The sequence below is a fragment of the Homo sapiens genome, chromosome 10, assembly GCF_000001405.40.
Source record: "Homo sapiens chromosome 10, GRCh38.p14 Primary Assembly".
Classification (NCBI taxonomy): Eukaryota; Metazoa; Chordata; class Mammalia; order Primates; family Hominidae; genus Homo; species Homo sapiens.
In genome coordinates, this window is record NC_000010.11 from 76,518,388 (window position 1) to 76,534,386 (window position 15,999).

The 15,999-nt window shown below is 37.1% G+C and overlaps 1 protein-coding gene across 3 annotated transcripts in view, besides 1 other annotated feature; it reads left to right on the forward strand.

The window, feature by feature from the left end:
• The window catches only part of LRMDA (leucine rich melanocyte differentiation associated), a 1,128,545-nt gene that overhangs the window by 1,086,764 nt on the left and 25,782 nt on the right, over positions 1 to 15,999 (forward strand). The window lies entirely within an intron of this gene.
• Positions 4,447 to 6,843: an enhancer, noted in NCBI's record as "VISTA enhancer hs1434". NCBI's record gives its function as "enhancer in: neural tube[6/7] | limb[7/7]" and the evidence as "EXISTENCE:transgenic organism evidence [ECO:0001131][PMID:17130149]".

Consider the following 15,999-nt stretch of genomic DNA (forward strand, 5'->3'; position numbering starts at 1 on the left):
AAGTATTACTGGGGACGAAGAGGACCTCATGTAATGATAGACCTTTCGATTCACCAAAAAGATTTTTTAAAATCTAAGTTTGTATGTACCTGTTAAAATATTATATTTCATCATACCTAAGATACCGACATTTGTAAGACGTGCTGTTATTTTATCTACCACTGTCAACAGTAAAAAACTCCTGCAACTAAACTATGAAATAATGGTTTCATATTATGTCAATTATAAGAGATCTTCATTTTGAGATGTTAAATATGAAAAAAACTGTCTTAGAATTAATGAAGTATGATAGCTTCACACCACTTAAAGCAACTATTTATGTAAGAGAAAAATATATAAAAATCTACATAACAGTAAAAGATTTCAAAATATTTCTTTCAATTGTGATAGCTCAAACAGAACAAAAAAAGATATAAGAGATGAATAACAAGCTGATTTTAATGGACATATGTAGAACTGTGCACAGAGAACACACATTCTTAAGCATATATGGAACATTTTTTAATTTGACCACATCTTAAGCTATAAAAGCAAATGTTAACAAATTTCAAAAACTAAGTATCACATGTTCTCTGACTACAATAAAATTTTAATTTAGAAATTTATACTAAAAAGTTAACTAGAAAAACCCCATCTGTTGGCCAGGTGTGGTGGTTTACATGTGTAATCCCAGCACTTTGGGAGGCTGAGAAGGGTGGATTGCTGGAGGAAAGGAGTTCGAGACCAGCCTGGGCAACGTGGTGAAACCCCATCTCTACCAAAAATACAAAAATTAGCCAGTCTCATAACCCAGCCTCAAAAAAAATTTTTTTTTGAAATTGAAACACATGGCTCATAAAAAATAATGGAAATTAAAAATCCCTAGAGTTGAACATTTATGAAAATACCGTATATTGAAAAAGTGGCATGCATTCATTTATAATGAAAATCTGTCAAGGAACAAGGAGTTGAATGGAACTTTTTAGCTAAATAAAGAGTATCTACCTAAAACAAACAAAACCTATAGCATACTTTGTTCTTAATGGTAAAAAGTTAGAAGCATTTCTTGTAAAGTCAAAAGTATATTCAAAGAAAAGTAAATTTTCCCTTCCATCCAGACTGTCCTGCAGAGACAAAAACATATTCATATATGTTTGGCAGGGAGAAGGACATAAAGAGAAAGATTTTGTTTTGGTTTGGCTTGTTTTAAGATTTTTTTAAATGTTTGATATACGGTGACAGCTTTCCCACAAAACTGTACTAATTGAAACTTCTACCAACAGAGTGTGAGAGCATTCATTTCACTACATGATCACAAACATTACGTACTACCATTTTAAAAAATAGCAAAATGCCTCTTTAAAAAATTTATATGATGCCTTGTGGGACTCAACTTGCTCAATGAGTTTATTGACTATTTTTATTTTTATGTTATAAACAGCTCTTCTTATGGAGCTGTTAATAATGTTTGCTTTTATTTGTAAGAAATGTTTACTAAAGTAGGTAATAATCCTTCAGCTGTCATAGATGATAAAAAGCATACTTTTTTTAAGTTTGTAATTTGGGTTTTACTTTTTTATGGTGTTTTACCATGGCAGAGGAAAACTTTTTACATGGTTAGACCTAACAATATTTTCTTGTATTTTTTCTTCCTTTGCTTTTATTGTATATCCCTAGAGATTGGAGAGTCTCTAATCGTTTGTGGTGATCGTTGTCTAATAGTTACTTTTCTTGTGTTGGAGTATCTGGTTAGGATTGCAAATTCATTTAGTCCTAATATTTATTAAACAGTGCTTCATTTCCTCACTGATAGAAAATATCAACTTTATCATAGTATATATTATTTTGTGATAGAATCTTGTTCTTTTCCTTCTATTTTGTAACACTAATCTTTCAGTTTTTTTTTTTACAAGTTCCATGTTGTTTAACTATTGCAGCATTATTTCTGAGATCATGATAATTCTTATTACTCACCCTGATTATTCTTTTTTCTTTTTTGCTCCTTTTTATTGGATACTGTTTTAAAAATTACAAACATTATCCACCCTCTTCTATTTCAAGATGACGTCAACTATTCTTTTTAAATGTATTAACTAAGAGGAATGCAGAATCATTTTCTAAAGTTAAAAATAAAAACTTGTCCAATCTCTGATATATTTTTTTAATAGTGTTTGACCCATAAAATTAGGGACATCTGAAGTAGGATTCTAAAGTAAGAAATATACCTGTTTGTTTGGAAAGGTAGAAAGGAAATAGTTACATTCTCACGTAACCAAAGTTTTAAAAAATTATCTAGTGTCATTTATCTGACATTATTTCTCTAAAGTGCCTCATCAACTCCAGCCAGACAAATCTCTTCATTATTCCTGCTTCAGGCCATGCACATTTCAAATTCTCAGGCTTTGCTGAGAATGTTCTTTGCCAGGGATATTTTTTCTCTTTCTTTCTGTTTATTAAAATTTGTTTCTTTAAGGCCAAACTCTAGCTCCTTCATCATGAAGCTTCTTTTAGTATATGTTCCACAGAGTTTAAACATTTTAGAACTTTTTCTAATTATAAAAGCAAGAAAATAAACTCATAGAACATTTGATAAAAAATAGAGACATATTTTCTATAATATTAACTCCCTATTATGAATTATATATATTTCCTTGCAGTATTTCATATGAATACATAGTTGTAACTCTAGTGAACTTACAATTTCATGTTCTATGTTAGCATGGTTTCATGCTTTTCTCTGTTGCTCCATTCTATTCATTATTACCATTTTTTTTTTTTTTTTTTTGAGACGGAGTCTCGCTCTGTCGCCCAGGCTGGAGTGCCGTGGCGCGATCTCGGCTCACTGCAAGCTCCACCTCCCGGGTTCATGCCATTCTCCTGCCTCAGCCTCCAGAGTAGCTGGGACTACAGGCGCCTGCCACCACGCCCGGCTAATTTTTTTGTATTTTTAGTAGAGACGGGGTTTCACCGTGTTAACCAGGATAGTCTCAATCTCCTGACCTTGTGATCTGCCCGCCTCGACCTCCCAAAGTGCTGGGATTACAGGCGTGAGCCACCGCGCCCAGCCCCATTATTACCATTTTAATGACTATCCAATGGTCCATAGAGTCAATACATAATTATTTAAATAATCTTTGCTTTACTACCTGTCCCTTATCATAAAAAGCTCTGCAGAGAAAATCTTTGTTGTGTAGCTTTCCTTTCTTTGGGGAATTAGTTCCTTAGAATAAACATCAAGAATTGGAATTTAGGGGAGAGAAGCGAAAAGCATTTTCAGGCTCTTGAAATGTTTTTTCAGGTGGCTTTCATTCACCAGTTTTATGTATGAGAGTTCTAGTACTCCAGTTGACTTGATTCCCTCAGATATAAATATTTTTTCGTTATTATTTAAGAGGAAAAAAGCATGTTAAGCATTTTGCCCCAATTCTCTGTTATTGTGTATTAGTTAGCTCTCATGTATTAATTTTGTTTCCCCAAAGAGACTGTAAGGTCCTTGCATGAGACTAGAGATAATGACTTATATTTATTCTTTATACCCCACAATATCTCCCCAAAAGTGTGGCAGACACAGTTGTCTTCAGTATTTGCTTCTTAAGTGATTGAAACCTTCACAAAATTCCTTTTTGTTCCTCAAACTCAAGGCCAATTATGATAGAAAATTTGGCAAGTAGCATATTTGTGGAGTCTCAGCTCCAAAAATAAACCCTTACCCAAACCTCACTTGTAGGGGTTAAACTTATGCTTGGAATCAAGATTAACTGAAATTTTCAATAAACATGTGTATATTGAGTTTTTCTTGAATTTCAGACTCATTTTATCCTAGTTCTTATCCAATTAATTCACAAAACATAAGCTATTTAACCACCACCATTTTCAGAGATTGCTCATAGGAAGACCAAAGAACATAGCCCTAGTCCTCTAAAACTGGTGTCCTAGGATGCTAGAAAGTCCCTTGCCTCCACAGGAAAGCAAAAGGCAACTATAATTGAAGTACCCTATTGCCATGTGTTTTCAGCTACACTTGTTCCCCACTTTATCCTAGTTCTAGAACGGTGCCAGGGATATGATAAACAGTCAATAAATATTTGTTGAGTGGTTGAATGAATCTGTGTGCATAGGTTGAATGAATCAATCACTCTGCAAATATGTATTGAGCTCTCGCAAGATGCAAAGCCCAGTGTACTGGTTACTAGAAAAACAGATAAAGTTGATGGATCTTATACGTGGCAGTGGGCTGGATTTAATGACCTTGAGGTTTCATCCAGTGCATTTTTCTACAACTCATGTGCATTTCTTTTGAAACTTACACGTCACATCCACAAGCCGAATAAAACTCCTCAAGCTGCATTTCTAGGATGATCCCCCGCCACCTCTCCCTGAGGGCCTGAAAAGTTGTATGCTGCTGATTTCTGGTGCGGGCAACTCCTGGGCAGGGACAAGGATGGCTCCAGATGGATGGATGCCTTTGTGGAGGGCTCCCTTTTATCCTTAGTTGTAAGCCGCCTGAGCAGTTATATTATAAATGGGTAATTTACCGCCTCATCCCCAAGGCCTCTTCTGTGGGCTCTTTCATGGACACTGTTACCAAAAGTTACCAATATGCCTGGTGCCTTTGATATTTGTGGGCACTGCAGACCAGAGAAAAAGAGTTGCTGCCTTGTACAGCTGCACACTGGCTTTCACATGTCCTGCAAATGGGTACCTGCCAGCCATCTTCCCCAGATGTCATACTGACCATTGATTTTTTTTTTTTTCTGCTTGCTATTGCAGTTATTAACTACAGTGAGGCCTGGGCACTTAGCTCTCCACTTTAATTATTCATCCTTATGAAGAAAAATTTCCCCCGTGTGCTTTATTGTCCTCCAGCCCCGACCTGAGCTCACGCAGACTCTTCCTTCTTTCCCTCCCCAAAGTGGCTTGTGTGTCGAAGGGCTTTCCACTGGGGTGCTTATTCCATTTATGCCTTTAGTATGCATTTTGTGTTCTGCCAAGGGGGTCAGGAGGGCACATGGAGAAGCCAGATGGCTTACCTCTTCCCTCAGGAAACACGCCGCTATTTAGCTGGGCACCTTCCCAACTCAAGGCGGGGTGAGATTCCACTGTTGGAGAGAGAGTTGGTTCAAATGCCACTGTCCCTGAGATCACAGCTCCAAGTTCCTCTAGGCTATGCACTTTTCTACTTCTCTGCCACTTGCTGGAGTTTTCTGCCAGAAACAGCCTTTTAGGAGATATTAGAAAGGGGGGTGGGAAGGGAGGGATGGGAAAAAGCAACTCTTGTTATTTATGGTCCTCGTTCAGGCACAAGTTTCTGTTATTTTAATCCGGCTGAAATAAGAAACCATAATCCATGGATGAAAAGATGGTGGACAAACTCAGTTAAATCTTGAGCACCCTGAGGATGTGTGTTTTTCCCTATTTCTGGTTTTTGACGTTCCTTCCCTGCTGCCATTTCCCAACTTTAACTTTTGAAAAGCCAAGCAGTTTGGCTGGCCAGGCCCAGGGAACTTATTTGTATGCAGCACAAATTTCAGAATCTGTTCTCAGCCTGTGCCGAGTGAAAAATGGCCTGCATTTTCTTGATAGCCCATGTGGTTGTAAAGAATAAATGGCTAATGAATTACAGATGAACATTGACGCAAATTAATCTTCCCGCTGTCCCTGGGTTATATGGCAGCCATTTAAAAGTTTAATCAATACACTAAAGTTGAAAACATGCAGGCACTGCAGTTGTTTGGATGTAATAAACATCAGAGGGAACCGGGAGGTTTGCACCCAGTCCATGTATCATAATGACAGGTATTTATGTTTAATGGACTAAATATTTTTTATTGGAAGGGAGCAAATGTCAGCTTAACTTTGTGAGCCCCGCATTCAACTTTCCTTTGAGGTTGGTGAAAGACGGCTGACGTGTCATTGGAAATGAAATGTTAAGGGAGAAAAAAAGCACAACGGAGACAAAGCGAGGATGGGAGCCGTTTGGAGACGTGGTGCAGCGCTTACATTCTGCAGCAATTCATTAACGAAAACGTAAACTCTGATATTTCTAATGTTGCTGTAAAATGGTTTACTAGGAACAACTTTAATGGTTATTAGTGAAAACAAGTACCCAGATCTGCCAGATATCCTTTTCAGTGCAGGCTTTTGTTTGAAAACTCTTTACCAGGTCATATTTGCTGGAGATTTATAATTAGTCTTTTTCCTTAATGTGAGAAGTGGAGGAGAAACAGCGTGATGGCTCTCAGCTCTTGTATTCCATAGATCTTTCCTTTTGAACGGTGTCCAATGACTTCGAATAACCATGTGTTCTCTTTTGGAATACTTATATCTTAATTACTTTTCAAGTCAATATTTTGTACCTCTGCCGTGAGTCTGGAAGGACCAGGGTAGCTAAAAGAGAAAGGAAATTGCCAGTGGCAGTGCCATCTCGCTGGACAAAAACAGGCTGAGACACAGGAGAGCAATGGCTTCACTTGAACAGAAAAATACAGACTTAGTTCAGCTTTTCATTTTTTTTCCTCCACATATAAAATAAACTAAATATGTCAGTGGAGCATGGGGTCTTAGAAAATAACACACACTTTATAAAAATAATTAGAAACGTTTTAGACAAAGGATATCGTGTTTTTAATGTCCCTTCTGCAACCAATTGTCTCAGGTCCTCTTCAGTGTCTGAGGGCACATTCAATGGCAGGGCTTGGAAGAAAATTATTCAGTAGATAGCAAGATGAGGCTGAAGGATGAGAAAAAGGGACAGGGGTTGTGATACTTATCCAGTGTTCAGATCTTGCAAAAGATATGAATTGCACCTTTTTATGTGTTAAATAATTTTGTTAAAATCACAAGAATTTGTGTTTCTAATGGGCCTAAGTTTCATAGGTAATCAGTATTATGTGATACTAAATTAGTAAACCAAACTGATGGGTTCATTGGTCCTTCATCATCCCTTAAGCAAAATGGGGAGAAACTTTCTGTTATGAAAACCGAAGCATGGCTCACTGTTAACCATGATGACATCTCACCCACTACTGCTCCTGAAGTCCTAAACTCTATTTTTCTTCCTACCTCTTTCTACCCTCTTAGAGGATTGAGTCCTTTACCTGTTTGTTCACTTTGTGTTTCCGCCGTGTGAATATAAGCTCCACAGTAGGGGGTAGGAGGCAAGAACCTGATTTTCTTCTTTGCTTCTAGTGTCCTGGGGCCTGGCCTATAATAGGTTCTTGTAAATGGCAGGTAAGTGAATGGCGGACTACATTTCTTATGGTCTTTAGTAATTTATAACTCCGGCTATTTTTTTTGTTAGTCAGTATGATTTCTAGTCACTGTGTTAGTTGTTTTACATATAATACAATACTTGATCTTAGTTGTTAACTCTAGAAGATAAGAGTTATTATCTTCATTTTATAGAGGCAAAAACTGATGTCAAGAGAATTGAAGCTAATTATTTGTGGTTACTGTTAGTATGTAGCAATTCCAGAATTTGAATCCTGACCTGTTTGTCTCTGTATCAGCTATACAGTACTCCCCAAATTCCTGTCACTCATCTTGTCCCTGGGGATTAAAATCTCATTAAGTGACCACAACATTTAATTCTAGACTATAACCAGCCAGCTCCCCAACTGGCTGATAATGAACAGAAGTATTAGATTCACAATTTGCAACCTAAACCTGGTGTCCTGAGTCCTACCTATAGAAAGCAATCTTTGACTGTACAAAAGTAGCACATTGGCTATTTGATGATGGGTGATATGTCACTCAAATATGTGTGTTCTGTGGTCTAGGGAAATACAAGGAACTCTCTCAAATCATGAGAAAAGTGTTCAGCAACAGAAATCTAACAAATAGTGACTGAAATGCATAGGCATTAATTTCTTCACTCAGAAGTGAGAATGGAGGTAGGCAGCCCAGGACAGTGATAGTGGCTGAAAGAGCAGATCAGTAGGCACCCAGGTCCTTTCTGTCTTTCTGTCCTACTACCTTTTCAGCATGTGCATTTTAGCCTCATGGTCTCAAAATGGTTGCTACTGCTCCTGGCATCATTTCCTCACCCAAAGCAAGATGAAGAAGGATGTCTTTCCCTTATGAGGCATTCGCTTTTCATTTGTGGATAGACAGCTTCCTAAAGATGTCTGTCTCTTTCTCATTACCCAGATCATGTCATTGGGAGGCTGGAAAGTCAAATGTTTCAGTTTTCATGCTGTTATAGTAGAGGAAGGCAGGATAAAAGGGAGCCAATGCATAGTGTCTCCTATGTAAGATAAATCGCATTTTTTGTATACCTAATAAAGACTTGAAACTTTGCTAGATGCCATATGCACATCAACTTATATCATGTTTACAACCACCTTGTTACAGAAGAGTATTTATTCCCATTACACTAAGAAGAGGTGATCTCATTGTTCAATTCCCACCTATGAGTGAGAATATGCGGTGTTTGAAGGGGAATATCACACTCTGGGGACTGTTGTGGGGTGGGGGGAGGGGGGAGGGATAGATTGGGAGATATACCTAATGCTAGATGACGAGTTAGTGGGTGCAGCGCACCAGCATGGCACATGTATACATATGTAACCTGCACAATGTGCACGTGTACCCTAAAACGTAAAGTATAATAAAATAAATAAATAAATAAATAAATAAATAAATAAATAAATAAATAAAAATGCCCTAAATTATCAGGTCTGACAAAAAAAAAAAAAAAAAAAGAAGAGGTGGAGCTGGGATTTAGAGCTACATTTGTCTGTTTCTATCATAGGTCTTCTCTCTAATGCCATGTTTCTTTGGCCACCATTTTGATGTCATAGTGAAGGATGATTTCATAGTGAAGGCCATTCCCAGTTGTTCCAGCTCATGGTGAATGTGCTGTCTTCTGAGGGCACTTAACAGTTGGGTCTGCCTCTTTGATAATTAAGTATGCACTACCATGTGCCAGCTTCCATTTTTGTGTATTCTGTACAGAGTGTTTAAGAAGGTGGGTCAGAGACTCACTGTCTAGATCCAGATCTTGGCTCTATAAGTTACTATCAGTGTAATCTCATGCAAATTACATAACCTCTCTGCAGATTGAACTTTTGGAGACCAGGGACATGATTTTTTTTCCCCTCTTGATATCTCCTAAAACACTGACAAGATTCTATTTCACATTAGAGCCACTGAGTAAAAACTCATTCTAGAATCACTTTGAATCTTTGTTTCATTGATTTAACATCTTTTTGCCTTAGCTTCTGAATCCTAAAATGGGGACAAGAATACATCTACTTCATAGGGTTGTTGTAATCGTTGAATGAGATAATGTACCTACTTAAAGTTTTTAGAACAGTGTGTGATGCATAGAAAAAGCTCAGTGTTAGCTATAATTATTATAATCATTCATGGATTGCCAGTATTCAAACTCTAAAACTCCATGGGATATAATATAATCTGTAATGTATCCAAAAGCAATTTTTCTTAGGCCATCTCAGGTACACTATTATAAAGAATAACCATATCCTTCTGGTGAAGCCATATTGAGCATCTCCTGCAATCCAGGGAGTGTGGTATATGTTGGAGATACAAAAATGCATAAAACACAGTGAGAAACATGTGGTAATGAACACCATGAGCAATATTCACTCTCGATAATAACCAAATGCTTAAAAAGTAAAGCAACTCTTGGATATAATATTTCCACTTATTAAACTAGCAAAGATGTTTAAATAGGCATGCCTGGTGCTATGGAGTGGATTGGGTGCATATTAATATGTTTTTGAAAAGCATTTTGGCCCTGTGCATTGAGGCTAGATGCATTCACTTAGGAATCTATTCCAAGACAAGAATCCAAGATGCATAAACACAGGATCTTTATACACTAAAATATTCACTATAGTAATGTTTGTAACATCAAAACACACAAAAAGTCATTATCCAACTAGATAAGAAAGCTAAATAAATTATGGCACATTCACAGAACACAATGTTATATAGTATTCAAGTGATGGTTACATCAGATTTAATACGATAGGCAAATATTTAAGTAATAAAATAAATGAAGATGGATATATATGAATGCATCCATACAACATATGGACAGAAAAAAGGCCAGAAGGCAAAACATCCAAATACTAACTGTGGTTAGTTCTGGACAGTGGAATTATATATGATTTTTATTTTTTAAATTTACACTTAATTTTTTTACAATGAACATTTAAATATAATAAGAAAACAATTAAAATAACTCCCCAAACAACAATATAGTCTTTATGAAAATAGTTTCAGAGAGAAGGGGAGTGATAATAACAAAAAGAGTTTATGTGAGTTAGTTAAGAATTGTATTCAGCTACAACTAGCCCCAAATACCAGTAGCTTTAAGAAAATACTGTCCTATAACATGAATTTCAGATGTAGGCAGTCCATAGCTGTTATGATATCACTAGGAACACAGGCTTCTTTGATTTTGGTTCTATCTTCCAACAGACTGGCTCCCATCCTCAAGTTTGATTTATGGTCACCATATTATTGCTGTTGCACTAGCTCTTCTTTCCAAGTTCCAAGTAGCAGGAAGGAAGAAAAGGCAAGGTGAGCACTGCTATGCTCAACAGCATAGGGGCTCTGTGTATAAGATGAAAGAGGAATATAGATACTGGGTAGCCGGCCTTACTTTCAGATTTTAATAATAACTCTGCCATTCAACAGCAGGTTGACGTTAAGAAAATCTCGCATGTCAATGACACCAAGGAGGCCTCCAGAACCTTCTGAATACAGTGCCGTATGCAACCACTGTCATCACCTGTGCTTGGTGATGAATCTCATTTGCCATTCCAAGCCTCTGTTACCTCCTGTGCTTTTGTTTCCTCCTCTTTAAAATAGGCATATTGAAAATTCACTGCCTTTTATGATTGTGGTGAGGATAATATGATTTTATAGTTGTGAAGGTCTTTTGGAAAGGCTTAGTATGCTATGCAAATGTAATTTTTACAAGACTCATGGCAGCCAATGGGAATTAAGGGCTCACTAAATGCTATTAATAGTCACTGCTGAACTCCTTATGTGCAGAATTTCATTTAATTTGGGGAATGAGACATTATGAGTGTCCCCATTTTACAGGTACAGATATTGAGAGACAAAGAAATTTGCACCCAAGTTATCTGCCTCTTGATTCCATGACATTTGTTCTCAATCTTAAGTGTGCTTAAGAATCATAGTAAGCCTGTTAAAAATGTAGATGTCTAGGATCAGAAATTAGATTCTGCTGCAGGTGGCCTGCAAACTACAATTAATGGCTCAGTTCTACCTACTCTAAACTCTTAATTATCCAGCAATGTGGCAAAGAACATGTTCCTCAGACAGAGCTCTTCGGGCTCCTGAATTCTACTCTGACTTTTCCTTGATCTTCTCTGGTAGGGAGACTATAGCTCTTTTGGGTAGAAAATGCCCTTTTGGCAAGAAAAACTTGCCAGTTATTTGGGAGGCTTTGTCTTCTTACATGGAAAAAGGTCACTAATTTCTGAAGCTACCTCCTGTACAGTAGTATGAGAATCCTCAGAGGTAAGAAGACTTGGGCCAATAGGTTTGACTTTGTTGGTTGGATTTTCATTATTTTCCAAAGAGAAAGTCTTTGAGGCCAAGCATAAGGGCTGATTTGCCAATGGGACTTAGTTTCCAGTAAGATCAAGAGTGTCTACCACACACCTGACTTTTGAACTTTCCTCTTAGCCCACTAATAGCAGAGGTGCAATGAGGAGATCTTCATTTGGCAATGGATAGGCTCCCAAAACAGAAAGCATGGACATGCCATTTAAAGGTCCCAGGAGATTGATTTCCAACTGGAATGCAGGAAGAGTCTAAGAGTAACTGAAATTTGGAAACACTGCTAGTTATTTTTAAGACTACTCTTTCTTGAAATGGATCAGAACCAATAGAACAAACCACAGGTTGTGATAGATTTATGCACTGAGGAATATAGGAAGAGAAAGTAAAAACTATGGGCAAGGATTTTCATAAACTGCATCATAAATTGATTTGGTGGGCCCCAAGGAGAACATAAACACTATGCCCAAGGACTCAGGGATTTGACTTTTGTTTAGATCCATTTTATAGGCAATCTGTAAAAGGAAAAAAGGGCAAAAATAATATTAGTTATCTCATAAAGTTGTTTAAAAATCAAGTGATGAGAATAATCTATTTAAAATACTTATCACAGTGCCTACACATAGGAAGCTCGATAAAGTTAGCTATGATGATGACTGTAATGACGAGGAGGAGCAGGAGGAGGAAAGGGAGAAAGAGAACGAGAGAGGCAAGAAATCTGCTAAGGTTTTGCTCCATGAAATGTCTTTCAGTTGAAAATTCTCATTGAAACAGAGAAGCTTTGTCTTTATAACTAGAAGATGCAGTTTGAAAATTGTATCATGGAATGAAACACAAAATGTTTTTCATTCCATGAAAGAATTCCATAAAAGAGCTAGACCGTACTCCACGTGGTGTTCTGCACATAGAAGGTGATCAAATAAATAACTGATTCTGTGAAGGGCTAAAGGAGATTTTCAGAATGTGCCATGCTTCTGGGGACAATTGGCTTTCTGCTATGGTCTCAATGCTGATGTAGAAGATAATTCTATGAAAAGATCCTCAGAACTGAGAACTTCTGTTTTTTCCATGTTAATGTTTAGATAGCCAGAGGACTTATCATTCTAGGTTTGGGGGCAGATATTTTGCTATGCCTTTCCTGTTACTGTTAGAAAGAAAATCCCCACCCCTACCCCGCCACTGTCACAGTAATAAAGCACTGCTCAATGTGTCTTTAGCACTTCCTGTCCTTGGGAATCTGCCTACTGCTTCTCTAATATGGGAGAGACCAGCCCCTGTGCTGAAGCAGTCAGGGACTGTAATTACCTTAATACCCAGTAATGGATCGTTAGGATCATGCCACACAGTCCCTATGGTACAAGAGACTCGGAAATTCAAGATGGGAAGATGAGAATATGTGAATTGAATGACATGGGTGAGAGTAAATTTCCCATCTTTTTTCTAGTGGAGGAAATGCATTAAGTCTTTTGATACTAAATATGATGTTAGCTATAGTTTTTGTTTGTAGATAACTTTTATCAGTTTGAGGAGCTTCCCCTTTTTTCCTGTGTTGCTGAGAGTTTTATCGTAAATTTATGAGTGCTGAATTTTGTCATTTTTTTCTGCATCAATTGAAATGATTTTATTTTTTTAAATTGGTTGATATAAATATATCAGTTATATTTATTTTTGAATATTGAACCAACCTTGCATCTCTAGGATAAAGTGTACTTGGTCATGATGTATTCTACTTTTTATATATTGCTGAATCTTATTTGCTATGTGTATTATGGATTTTTGCATGCACATTCATGAGGAATATTGTCCAGTACTTTTCCTTCCTTTTCTTGTAATGTATTTGCCTGTTTTTGGTATCAGTGTAATGCTGGTTTCATGGCAAGTATTCCTACCCCTTCAATTTTCTGGAAAAGTGTGTGTAGAATTGCTATCATTCTTTATTAAGTCATTGGTTAAATTTGTCATTAAAACCATTTGGGCCTGGAGTTATCTTCATGGGCCAATAGTGAACTCTGCATTCAATTTCTTTAATAGACATACAGGCCTTCAGGTTATTCACTTCTTCTTTAGTCCTAAGCTCTTTTTTTGAAAAGATACATTACACCTCCTTCAAACCTCTACTTTAAGTTCTGGGGTACATGTGCAGAACATGGAGGTTTGTTACATAGGTATACGCGTGCCATGGTGTTTTGCTGCACCCATCAACCCGTCACCTACATTAGGTATTTCTCCTAATGCTATCCCTCCCCTACTCCCATACCCCCCGACAGGCCCTGGTGTGTGATGTTCCCCTCCCTGTGTCCATGTGTTCTCATTATTCAACTTCCACTTATGAGTGAGAACATGCACAAACCTCTACTTTTAATCATTGTGGCCATCACATAACCAAAGTGTTAATTCACGGCTTGACTATGAATTCTTCTCATAACCTTCTGGGCCTTCTGTTTGGTAAACAGAGAAAGTTAGTTCCTTTATACATTTATTTATTCATTCATTCAGCAAAGATTGGAACCATATTTTGAATTGTAGGACATGCAATACAGGTTGTGGTTTCAAAGATGAGTCAGACAGTATCCTTGGGTTCAAGTAAATTTCTTTTAAGAGGGAGTAATAGCAATCAAATGCTTGACTGTGCTGCAGTGGGATATGTGTAGTGGTTGTGTGATGGGTAGTGCACAGAAAGAGAAAACAAGGAACCATTAATTCTGCCAAGGGGAAATCAGAGAAGTCTTCTAAGAAGAAATGGCATTTTATTTGGGCCTTGAATGATAAGGAGAGTTTTATTTGGCAAAGAGGAGTCTTGTCATGTGAATCATCATGGGAGGTTTGGAGGAACAAGCCATTTCAGCTTTTCCTAGGGTTAGAACCTTTACTTTAGGAATGCATTGTTTTCTTCTTTTGATTGGGAAAACCAAAATCTGAATGGTAAATTTAAAAGTTACATTGCTTTAGTTATCACAGTTCTTCTAATTGTGTGTTTCTCAGATGAATATGACATGCCTCTTACGATCTTGCTACAGAGTGGATTTTATGTTAAATTATGGCTTCCTGGTGATTCTCAGAGTTTTATATCCCATTTTTATTTAAATTATTTTCATAGTTGTAATAACAAATAAATTTCTTATTCAAAGAAGATGCAGCCTTTGAAATGGATCTTAATTTGAATGTTGACATTCCAGTAACAAAACAAAAATAACCACTTGTAGATGGAGAGCGAGAGCGAGAGTGAGAGAGAGCGAGAGAGAGAATGAATCACAAACACCTGTAAAGTGTAACTATTAGTTTCAAATAGGATATTATTGAATCTGTCCTAAAACCAGTTGATTGTGATTATTCTAAATTTTACCTTGAGTATATTGACCATGACAGGCCAACTTCAGTTCCTATATCCGGATTCAACTGGATTCATTGCACTTTGATTCTACCATGAAAAACAATGCCTTTGTGTAAAGTCATGAGCACTTCTTTCCCTTCTTGGTTAACTGTGTTTAGATCTTTATCATATAAGACCTGACTTTATGTTCATTGTTGAAATTGTTGCTGGTTTCTTTTGCTCTTACACACCCATGCTGGCCTCCAAGAACAACTTGCTGTCATTCAGGAGCTTGCAAACTCATTGCTTTAATTAATTAACGGAGGCTCTTTGGAAGTTAGGGTCATTTGTTTTTAATTTTCAGTTAAAGGCACCTATGGATTTCTATTTTAAGAATAGACACTGTCTACTTTACTTGCTTATTATACTTTGATACTAAAATACAGCTATAATGGTTCTGCAGCATTGCCAGTTATTTAAGTATTCCTGAGTATTTAGGTAAAGGCTGGATGGCTTGGAACTACTCTAACATGGCAAAATATGTCATCAATGTTTTGCTCCAAGAGTATCCTGTAATGTATATGCTCAACTTGAGAAACAAAATATATTATAATTTTAGGTTTCAAAGCATAAATCCTTAACATATTTACTGGTTACTACATGCTGGGCACAGTGCCAGGCTCTTAAGTGACTGCAGTAGACTGTAGACAGATCAGACTTCTTGTTCTCATGAAGCTTGGAATCTAGTGGGATGCTCATTCATTGACCTATGAATACGTACTGTGTTATGTGCCAGACACTGTGATAGATCCTGTGCTTTGCCCCACAGGTCAAGGCACTAATATAGTATTATGTTTGGTACATAGTTGGCCCATAACTCACAGTAAAATTAACCTTTCCATTCTCTTTAACATATTACATTATTACATATTAAGGAAGAATGTGAAAAAATGTAATCATAATATCAGAGATTGCTTTTTGCTCACAAAAATCCACATTTTCTCCTGCTTTTGGGGTACCAAGCTAGACTTCATTTCATTCTCCTTTGCAGTTAGGAGAGGTCACATGAGTGTGTCACACTCGTGAAAGATATGGCCACATGTGTGTATTTTAGCCAATGAAATGTTCGTGGAAGGGATGCGTGGCAG